General features: G+C 34.3%; 1 protein-coding gene across 11 annotated transcripts in view; it reads left to right on the top strand.

The window, feature by feature from the left end:
* The window catches only part of ECHDC1 (ethylmalonyl-CoA decarboxylase 1), a 54,898-nt gene that overhangs the window by 26,680 nt on the left and 16,344 nt on the right, over window positions 1-11,874 (top strand). For 5 of the 11 annotated variants that reach the window (NM_001105544.2, NM_001002030.2, XM_005267047.4 and 2 more), the window contains 2 exons: window positions 428-480; window positions 2,034-2,114. In NM_001105544.2, coding sequence (NP_001099014.1) covers window positions 428-480; window positions 2,034-2,114 — 134 coding nt within the window. Of the gene's footprint in view, window positions 1-427; window positions 481-955; window positions 997-2,033; window positions 2,121-11,874 lie in introns of those variants that run through there. The other 6 variants (XM_047419074.1, XM_047419073.1, XM_047419072.1 and 3 more) reach the window with 3 other exon arrangements.

Raw genomic sequence — 11,874 nt, 5'->3', positions numbered from 1 at the left:
GCAATACCAAGATAAAGCCTTAGAAATATTTTTTTAAAAATCAAAGCTTAACATAACTTTTCCCTTCTTTCCCTTCTTCTCTTATATGTTTATCATCTTAAGGATAACAGATGGGTATATCTTATGCCTTTCCCCTGTCATTACCCTGAGTAGAACTCCATAGTGATCTAGGGTATGTGATCTGTCTCTTATCCCTACATCTTTGCTAATACCTCATGCAAAGCTGAGCTCAAGGAGCCCTAGGATATCAACAGTCAAATACAGCATTATTTGCATTTCAGACAACATCAAAGAGTTTTAAATGGAAATGTCATTGTTTAAAAAAGACATATTTTTGGCTTCATTACTTTCTAAAACCTTAATTTAAAAAATTTAATGTAATATATTTGCATTATACCTTTGTGTTTCTGCTTATTTTTATTTAAAGGATGGAATGGCCGTATGCATGTTCATGCAAAACACCTTAACAAGATTTATGAGGTAATGCAGCCTTCTTTTTAAAATATGATTTCTAAAAGACCAAAAATAGCTTTTTGCTATTCCATTATTTGTACTAGTTAAGAAATAATAGCTAATTTTCAAATTACATCTATTCTAATGATGTACTATTTTTTTGTGCCGTAGAGGATAATCATTTAATTACATGTTAATGAAGTATATACATATGTATTTTAAAAATAAGAGAAATGAAAGATAAGAAAAATTTAAGACATATCCCCTAAAGAGCTTATATAACTAGCTGTATTTAGGAATAGATACTGGGAAAGTTAAATACTGGTATTAGAGCAGAATAATAAAGACACTGATCAAGACATGACACATAAAGTTTACCTAATATTCCAAATTAGTAGAATGTGTGGTGAAGTGGTCTGTATCCAGAGGAGATGAGAAAAAGAACTATGGATTGGAAAGTTTTTACAGCTTTCTGAGGAATATGAATTGACTTTGCACCTAGGTAAAGAAGCAAAGAGGAAAAATTCTTCTTGGCCTATCAAGGTATGTTTGAGGTTACAAACTGACATGTTTTGGTTGATTAGCTTTCTACTTTCACATTCCGAATGTAGACAAATTTAAAATTATGAAAAGTAAGGAAATTCTTATTTAAGCAAGGTTATTAATTGGACATTACTGTATTTTTGGTACCTATTGTATCTGAGAGTCTAGAGAGAGTAATAGAATCATAACATTACTATTCTAAAATAGTATCTTCATTGTTTAAACCCTATTCACCTCCTTTTCCTATTGCATTTGACTTTTTCATAGATAAATCTGAAGTTATTATTTTTTTAAATAATCCTTTCTACATGGGAGCAGTGTATATTAGGAAATTTTCAATTACTTTAGACCTGCACCTTTGCATTGTAGGTCAGAACCTACAAAAATTCCATCTTGGAAAACATTTTAGATTTACCTTGTATTCACACACCCCTGCAAAGTGGGTCTTTGCAAACAGGAAAGGTAAAAGATTTATTTTTACTGCAAAATCATGCCTTTATATAGGATTAGTCTGTGGATTATTTCAGGCAACAATGAGTAGATTTTTGAAGGAAACTTCATAACACAGTTTTGGAGCCCTATCTTCTGTAACACATTTCCAACCTTTGGAAATAGCCTTGATTTTCCAACTTTTAACCTGATACCAACAAAAATGGACAAAGATAATATCACATGGAATTATTCTGAAGAGCCAGCTGCTGAGAAGTTCCAGGAGCTGTAAATTAGACAAAAGCATCCATTTATTTGGGAGTAAGTTACAATATGGCTATAGCTTAAAAATATATAATGATTCAGGGAGGTATTTTAATGAACTTATGTGGCATTTATTGTGAACTATTGTATGTTTAGTATTACACTGTTTTTCTTCTCATGATGTAAAGGTTCAAGCTTCTGCTATCCTTTGATGTGTGTTTGTTTTTATGAAGACAGTGCAATAATTTTGTTTCCACTGCATTTTAAGATTTTTTAAAAAATAACATTTGTAAATGAATATTGAAATTAAAAATAGTAACATCAGTTTTTTCTTCAATATACAGACTTCCTTTAATAAGTGTTGCGCTGGTTCAAGGTTGGGCATTGGGTGGAGGAGCAGAATTTACTACAGCATGTGATTTCAGGTAGGATGAAAATTTCATTAATTTCTTGCACAAATATAATTAACTTGCTCAAATTCATTTTTGCCTTAATATCAATATTTTATATATTCTTAAATAGGATAAACCTATTTTCTTTTCTGAATGTTTTCTTTTTGTCAGTCATTAAAGTAGATAATTTTAATCTAATAAAATTTCATGATCACTTCATTACTATGCATTTTCAAAAAATTAACAAAACACATGGTTTTGAGATTTTGAATAGAGCAAATCCATATTAGCAAAACTCCTGGAAGGAAAGCTAAGGAAATATATGAAACTTAAAAATCCAAAAGAATTATACAAACAAAGGTAAGCAACATTAAAAAAGAAAAATAGAATGCAGAAAGAGAGACTGCTGTAGCTGTCTTCTCACCAATAAAAAGAGATTTTCTGAGATCCCTTTGTCTTCTTTTTGCTGTGATTTATAGCAACTTTGTGGGACTTTCAGGAAGATTAGGGACTAAAAATAGAGAAAGTTCTTTGGGACCAATAGCTCTTCACTCCCAATAATTATTCTCAGTATTTGATAGCTATATTATATAGAAATGACATTTTATAAAATCTAATGCTTTAGACATGGTTTAAACTGCTTTCTCAGTACCATTCCCAAGGCCTACTAACACAGCTAGCTATAAGGAGACCAATACAATGCTCTGTGAGTTATCTGTACAGGTTCACATACTGGAGCCTCTTTATAATGCAAAAGGTAGTAAATATAGCACAATCAGAGGTAAAATGGCAAAACAGTAAAGAGCCTGAGCACTGACGTCTAGTAGACCTAGGCTGAATCCCAGTTTGACACTTTTATCTACTTGACTTTGAGCAAGTATTTTACCTCTCTTCATCTCAGTTTCTTTATCTATAAAATGGAAGTATCTCCCTTAAATATTTATAAATAGATTTAAATAAGATAGTGAAAATATAGGTTTTAGCATAATGTTTAACCTAAAGTTTACATCAATATTCACATAATATTGTGGCTTAGAGTTTTAAGATTATCTTATACAACTGTCTCTTACCAGTGCCAATATGATAACATTGTGGCATACTTTGAAACTCATTGTCTTTTCATTTGGGATGTTTTTCAGTCTCTGGGCTAACCCTGGCCTTGCCATTTTTTTAAAAATTCATTATACACTTGACCCTAGCTAAGAAAAATACTGGATATACATTAAGAGAAGACTTCTAGTAAACTTTTTGTCTCAGTTTCAGACACTGAAGAGAAAGTGATTCTGCGCTGGCATGTAGTGCTCTACATATTTCAAAACATCATGTTGTACATTTAAAAACTTTTAAGCCTGGCGTGGTGGCTCATGCCTGTTATCCCAGCATTTTGGGGGGCTGAAATAGGCAGATCACCTGAGGTCAGGAGTTTGAGACCAGCCTGGCCAACATGGTGAAACCCTATCTCTACTCAAAATACAAAAATTAGCCAGGTGTGGTGGCACATGCCTGTAGTCCTACAACTTGGGAGTCTGAGGTGGAAGGATTGCTTGAACCTGGGAGGTGGAGGTTACAGTGAGCCAAGATCACACCATTGCACTCCAGCCTGGGCAACAGAGTGAGACTCTGTCTCAAATAAATAAATAAATAAATAAATTTGTTGAGCTACAAATTATATACAATAAAATGAATCCATTTTAATTGTATGCTGTAAATGGATTTTGATGAATATATACACCCATGTAACCACCTCCACAATCAAGATTGAGAACATTTTTATCACCCCTATCTATATGTTTTCATATGCCTCTTCCCAGTCAGTTCATATCTCTATTTCAAGGTAAACACTGATCACTTTCTCACTTTAAAGTAGATTTTTAAAAAAGAATTTTACATAAATACATTTTTACATAAATATATAGAGTATGTACTTTTTAATGTCTGCCTTCTTTAATTCAGTGTAATTATTTTGAGAGTCATCCATGTTGTACCATGTGTCAATACTTTGTTCCTTTTTAATGTTGAAAAGTATTTTATTGCATGGATATTCAAGTTTGTTTCTGAGATTTATCTGTGTTTTTGCATTTTCCAGTGGTTTGTTCATCTTATTGCTTAGTAGTATTGCTTTCTATGCCTATATAGCACAGTAAGTGTTATACATTAATGGGCACATGAGCTATTTCTTGTTTTGGCCTATTATAAATAAAGCTGTTGTGAACATTCATGTATAAGTATTTGTGTGGGCATATGTTGTCATATCTTTTGGGTGAAAATCTAAGAGTGGAATTGCTGGGGTGATATGGTAAGTGTATGTTTAACTTAAGCAGCAAATATATTGGTTTCTTAAATTTTCTAGGTGGGTTGTATAATTTTTATTCTCATGAGCAATGGAAGAAAGTTCCAGCTGCACCACATGAATACCAACATGTGGTACTGTCAAGCTGTTTAGATTTAGCCATTTGACGGGTGGGAACCATTGTGAGAGCTCATTGTGATTTCAGATTTGAATTTCCACAGTGACTGGTGTTGAGGACCTTGTGTTTATTGGCCATATCTTCTTTTTCTTTGTTGTTTCAAATCCTTTGACTCTTTAAAGAAATTGATTTGTCTTATTATTATTAAACTGTAGGAGTTTTTTATATATTCTGTATAAAATTCCTTGGGATAGCAATAATTATAGTAGCAGAGGTGAAGTATGCTCGTGTGTCTATGTCTATCTCTACTTTAATACTAAATACTATTATTCACAGCCTTAGGAGAAAGAATACTTTCTCCCAGCCTGTGAGTTTTTTTTTTATCAGTAGTATCTTTGGAAGAGCAGAAATTTGAATTTTTAAAATGTTTTCAACTTCTCATTTGCACTAACTATACACTTATGAAAAACTTGACGAAATCATACATATAACTCCCATATACCTTTCAATCAGTTTCCCCAAATGTTAGTATCCTATAGAGCCACAGTGCAATTATACAACTGGGAAATTAACATTGATACAATACTTGTAATTAATCTACAGACCTCATTCAGTTTTTTTCATTTATCATACTAATGTTTTTTTTTTTTTCTGGTCCAGGATTCAGTCAAGATCTGTTTTTTTTCTGATATAAATATAGCCATCCCAGTTTTCTTTCTTTCTTTCTTTCTTTTTTCTTTTCTTTTTTTTTTTTTTTTTTTTTTTTTTTTTGAGACAGAGCCTCTGTCACCCAGGCTGGAGTGCAATGGCACGATCTCAGCTCACTGCAACCTCCACCTCCCAGGTTCAAGCAATTCTCCTGCCTCAGCCTCCTAGTAGCTGCGATTACAGGCGCCTGCCACCACGCCTGGTTAATTTTTGTACTTTTAGTAGAGATGGGGTTTCACCATGTTGGCCAGGTTGGTCTCGAACTCCTGACCTCGTGATCCAGGGCCTGCCTCTGCCTCCCAAAGTGCTGGGATTACAGGCGTGAGCCACCACGCCTGGCCCCCAGTTTTCTTATGGTTAACATTTCTGTGGTGTATCTTTTTCTGTCCTTTCATTTTTAACTTGGCTGCCTTGTTCAAAGTAGATTCTAGTAGACAACATATACTACGGTTTTGCTTTTTTATTCAGAATGACAATTTCTGCCTTTTAATTGGAGTGTTTGTTCCATATACATAGTCAGTGTTGCATGGATATAATTGGGTTTAAATCTGCCATCTTGGTACAGGCATAATTCATAGATATCACAGGTTTGGTTTCCTCCAGACCACCCCTCTAAAGTTAATATCACAATAAAGTGAGTCACACGAACTGTTTGGTTTCCCAGTGCGTATATAAGTTATGTGTACACTGTACTATAGTCTGTTAAGTATGTAATAGCATTATGTTTGAAAAAACAATGCATCTATCTTAATTAAAAGGTAATTTATTGCTGAGAAATGCTACCAATCATCTGAGCCTTCACCGAGATGTAATCTGGTGGGGAATCTTGCCTCAATTTTGATGGCAGCTAACTGATCAGAGTGGTGCTTCCTGATGATTGAGGTGGATGTGACAACTTCTTAAACTAAGACAACAAAAGTTTGTTAACCGATTGACTGTTTCACAAAAGATTTCTGTGTAGCATGCAGTGCTGTTTGATAGCATTTTACCCATAGTAGAACTTCTTTCTGCCGTTGATTTATCAAATATAAATTTATGTAATATTCTAAATCCTTTGTTGTCATTTCAACAGTGTTCACAGCATCTTCACCAAAATTAAATTCCATCTTAAGAAACCACATATTTTGTTCATCCATAAGAAGCCATTCCTCATCTAGTCAGGTTTTATCATGAGATTGTAGCAATTTGGTTACATCTTCAGGTTCTACTTCTAATTCCAATTGTCTTGCTACTTCCATCACATCTGCAGTTACTTCCTCCATTGAAGTCTTGAACTCCTTAAATCTTCCTGAGGGTTGAAAGCCAACCATGAGGATTGAAAACAACTTTTTTTTTTTAATTTTTAACTTTCATGAGTACATAGTAGATGTATATATTTATGGGGTACATGAGATGTTTTGCTACAGGCATGCAATATGTAATAATCACATTATGGAAAATGGGGTTTCCATCCCCTCAAGCATTTACCCTTTGTGTTACAAAAAATCCAATTATACTCTTTTAGTTGTTTTTAAATGTATAATTAGGTTATTATTATATTATTAACTATAGTCACCCTGTTCTGTACAATAGACCTTATTCATTCTTTCTATTTTTTTGTACCCATTAACTATCCCCATCCCCCTGCCAACTCCACACTACCTTTCCCAGACTCTGGTAATTATCTTTTTACTCTCTATCTCCATGAATTCAGTTGTTGATATGGTTTGGCTCTGTGTCACCACCCAAATCTCATGTTGAATTGTAATCCTCAATTTTGGAGGAAGGGTCTGGTGGGAGGTGATTGAATCATGGGGGCAGACTTCCCCCTTGCTCTTCTCATGATAAGTGCGTAAGTTCTCACAAGAACTGGTGGTTTAAAAGTGTGTAGCACTTCTCCTTTCGCTCTTTCTCTCCTGCTCTGTCATGTGAAGATATGCCTGCTTCCGCTTCGCCTTCTGCCATGATTGTAAATTTCTGGAGGCCTCCCCAGCCATGCTTCCCATACAATCTGTGGAACTATGAGTCAATTAAACCTCTTTTCTTCATAAATTACCCAGTATCAAGTAGTTCTTAATAGCAGTGTGAGAAAGGGCTTGTGGAATATTGCTCAAGAAATTTTTGCCAAGTACAGTGACCCTAAGATTTTCGCCAGTGTTTTCTGGTAGTGGTTCCAGAGTTTGAGGTCTTAAATTTGTCTTTAATCTATTTTTTCCTGTGTGTGTGTGTGTGTGTGTGTGTGTGTGTGTGTGTGTGTGTGTGTGTGTGTGTGTTTTGTTGTTTGTTTTCTGGGTTTTTTCTTTTTCTTTATTTTGATTTGATTTTTGTCTGTGGTGATAGATAGGGGTCTAATTTCATTCTTCTGCATATAAATATCCAGTTTTCCCAGCATCATTTATTGAAGAGACTGTGTTTTCTCCAGTGTATGTTCTTGGTACCTTTGTTGAAAATGAGTTGCCTGTATATGTGTAGATTTGTTTCTGGGTTCTCTATTCTGTTTCACTGGTTGTCTGTTTTTATGCTATTTTGGTTTTTGTAGCTCTGTGGTATAATTTGAAGTCAGGTAATGTGATTCCTCCAGGGCTGTTCTTTGTGCTGAGCATAGTTTTGGCTATTCTGTGTTTTTTGTGGTTCCATATAAATTTTAGGATCTTTTTTTCGATTTATGTGAAGAATGTCATTGGTATTTTGATGGGAATTACACTGAATATCTAGATTGCTTTGGGTAGAATGGACATTTTAACAATGTTGATTCTTCCAATCCACGAACATGGGATATCTTTTCATTTTTAATGTCCACTTCAATTTCTTTCATTGGTGTTTTATAGTTTTCATTATAGACATGTTTCACTTCCTTGGTTAATTCCTAGGTATTTAATTTTATGTGTGGCTATTGTAAATGGGATTACTGTTTTGATTTCTTTTTCAAATTGTTCACTGTTTACATATAGAAAAGCTACTGATTTTTGTATGTTGATTTTTTATTTTGCAACTTTAGGCTTTTTCCAGACATAGATTGTATAATCTACAAACAAGGATAATTTGATTTCTTCCTTTCCAATTTGGATGTCCTTTATATCTTTTTCTTGTCTGATTACTCTAGCTAGGACTTCCAGTACTATGTTGAATAACAGTTGTGAACGTAGGCATCCTTGTTGTGTTGTAGATCTTAGAGAGAAGGCTTTTACCTTTTCCCCATTCAGTATGATACTAACTGAAGGTCTGTCATATATGTATATGGCCTTTATTATGTTGATGTATGTTCCTTCTATACCTAGTTTCTTGGTAGTTTTTTATCATGAAGGGATATTGAATTTTATCAAATGCTTTTTCAGCATGAGTCCAAATTATTATATAGCTTTTGTCCTTCATTCTGTTGGTATGATGTTTCACATTGACTGATTTGTGTATGTTGAACCATCCTTGCATCCCAGAGATAAATTTCACTTGGTCATGTTGAATGATCTTTTTAATATATTGTTGAATTCAGTTTGCTAGTATTTTGTTGATGATTTTTGCACCAATATTCATTGGAGATATTGGCCTATAGTTTTCTTTTTTTGATGTGTCTTTATCTGGTTTGGTATCAGGGTAATACTTGCCTCACAGAATGAGTTCGGAAGTATCCCCTCCTCTATTTTTCAGAATATCGGAATAGTTTGAGTAGGATTGCCATTAGTTCTTCTTTAAATGTTTGGCAGAATTTAGCAATGAAGCCATTGCATCCTGGGCTTTTCTTTACTGGGAGACTTTTTATTACATCTTCAATCTCCTTACTAGTTATTGGTCTGTTCAGGTTTTGAATTTCTTCCTACTCAATCTTGGTAGGTTTTATGTGTCTAGGAATTTGTCCATTTCTTCTAGATTTCCCAATTTATTGACATGTAGTTGCTCATTGTAGCCACTAATAATCCTTGAATTTCTGCAGTATCAGTTATAATGTCTCCTTTTTCATGTCTGGTTTTATTTATTTGGAATTTCTCTTTTTTTTTTTCTTTGTTAGTCTGGCTAGAGATTTTTCAATTTTGTTTAACTTTTCAAAAAAAACAACTTTTTGTTTCATTGCTCTTTTGTATTATTTTCTTTCTGTCTTTTTTTTTTTTTTCTGAGACAGAGTATCACTCTGTCACCCAGGCTGGAGTGCAGTAGGCTGGAGTGCAGTGGTGTAATCTCAGCTCACTGCAACCTCCTCCACCTCCTAGGTTCAAGTGATTCTCCTGCCTCAGCCTCCTGAGTAGCTGGGATTACAGGTGCATGCCACCATGCCCAGCTAATTTTTGTATTTTTAGTAGAGATGGGCTTTCACCATGTTGGTCAGGCTGGTCTCAAACTCCTGACCTCGTGATCTGCCCGCCTTGGTCTCCCAAAGTGTTGGGATTACAGGCGTGAGCCACCATGCCCAGTCAATATTTTTTTAATTTAGATTTCATTTATTTCTGCTCTGATCTTTAGTATTTCTTCTACTAATTTTGAGTTTGGCTTGCTCTTGCTTTTCTAGTTCTTTAAGATGCATTATTAGGTTATTTGAAATTTTTCTTGTTTTTTGATGTAGGCACTTATAGCTATAAACTCCCTGTTAGTACTGCTTTTGCTGTATCCCATAGGTTTTGGTATGTTGTACTTCATTATCATTTGTTCTAAGAGAATTTTCAGTTTCCTTCTTAATTTTTTAATTGACCCATTGGCCATTCAGGAGCATATTGTCTAATTTCCATGTATTTGTGTAGTTTCCAAAATTCCTCTTGTTATTGATTTGTAGTTTCCATTGTGATCACAGAAGATGTTTATTATTTTAATTTTTTGAATATTTTAAGATTTGTCTTTTGACCAAACATATGGTCTACTTTTAAGAATGATCCATGTGCTGAGGAAAAGAATGTGTATTCTCCAGCTCTTGGAGGAAATATTGCATGAATATCTATTAGGTACATTTGTTTCTATAGTGCAGATTAAGTCTGATGTTTCTTTGTTGATTTTTTGTCTCTAAGATCTGTCCAGTGCTGTATTAGTCCATTCTTGCATTGCTATAAAGAACTACCTGAGACTGGGTAATTTATAAAGAAGAGAGGTTTAATTGGCTCATAGTCCCACAGGCTGTACAGGAAGCATGGCTGGGGAATCCTCAGGAAATGTACACTCATGGCAGAAGATGAAGGGGAAGCAGGCACGTCCTACATGGCTGGAGCAGGAGAAAGAGAGAAAAGGGGAAGGGTACTACACACTTTTAAACAAAATCTCATGAGAACTCATTCACTATCACAAGAACACCAAGGGGGAAGGCTGCCCCCATGATCCAATCACCTCCTCCTACAACATTAGGGATTACAATTCTACATGAGATTTGGGTGAGGACCCAAATCCAAACCGTATCAAATGCTGAACGTGGGGTGTTGAAGTCTCTAGCTATTATTGTATTGGGGCCTATCTCTCACTTTAGCTCTAATAATGTTTCCTGTATATATCTGGGTGCTCCAGTGATGGGTGGCATAAAAATTGTCATATCCTCTTGCTTAATTGACCCATTTATCATTATATAGTGACTTTCTTCATCTCTTCTTAACAATTTTTGTCTTGAAATCTATTTTGTCTGAAATAAATATAGATACTCATGTTTTCTTTTTGTTTTCATTGTCATGGAATATCTTTTTCCATTTCTTTATTTTCAGTCTTCGTGTGTCTTTATAGGTGAAATGTGTTTCTGGTACACAACAGATCATTTGGTCTTTTTTTTTTTTTTTTAATCTATCAACCAGTCTGTGTCTTTTGATTGGAGAGTTTAGTCCATGTACATTCAATATTATTATTGGTAGGTAAGGACTTACTCCTGCCATTTTATTTGTTTTTTGGGTTGTTTTGTGGTCTTCTCTTTCTTTTCTTCTTCCTTTTTGTGATGATGATGTTCTCAGTGATTTGATTTAGCTTCTTGCTTTTAATTGTTTTGTGTATCTTTTATGTTTTTTGGCTTGCAAATACTGCATCTTATTAGGCTTGCAAATACTATCTTATCACCCATTATTTTAAGCTGATAACAACTGAACATTGTTTGGATAAACAAGCAAACATGCAAAAAGAAAATAATAAAAACTTTATGCCTTAACTTTATCCTCTGGCTTTTTAATTTTTTGTTGTATACTGTCTATGTCATGAAAAGTTGTAGTTATTATTTTTGATTGGTTCATCATTTGGTCTTTCTACTTAAGATAAGACACAGTTACAGTGTTTTAATATTCTGTGTTTTTCTGTATGCTTACTATTATCAGTGAGTTTTTTACCTTCAGATGATTTCTTATGGCTCATTGACATCGTTTTCTTTCTGATTAGAGTGCTCCCTTTAATATTTCTTGTAGGACAGGTCTGGTGTTGATGAAATCCCTCAGCTTTTGTTTGTCTGGAAGTCTTTATTTCTCTTTCATGTTTGAAGGTATTTTTGCAGAATATACTATTCTAGCATGAAAGGATTTTTCCCTCAGCACTTGCAGTATGTCGTACCATTCTCTCCTGGCCTGTAAGGTTTTCACTGAAAAGTCTTCTCCCAGACATATTGGAGCTTAATTGTGTGTTGTTTCTTTTCTCTTGCTGCTTTTAGGATCCTTTCTTTATTACAGACCATGTTTTTATCCTTGACCTTTGGAAGTTTATTAAATGCTTTGAGGTACTTTTGTTTGGGTTCAATCTGCTTTGCTGCTCTATAACCTTCT

Source organism: Homo sapiens, chromosome 6, assembly GCF_000001405.40.
Source record: "Homo sapiens chromosome 6, GRCh38.p14 Primary Assembly".
In the NCBI taxonomy this organism is placed as follows: domain Eukaryota; kingdom Metazoa; phylum Chordata; class Mammalia; order Primates; family Hominidae; genus Homo; species Homo sapiens.
This window is presented reverse-complemented; position numbering and strand designations above follow the sequence as displayed.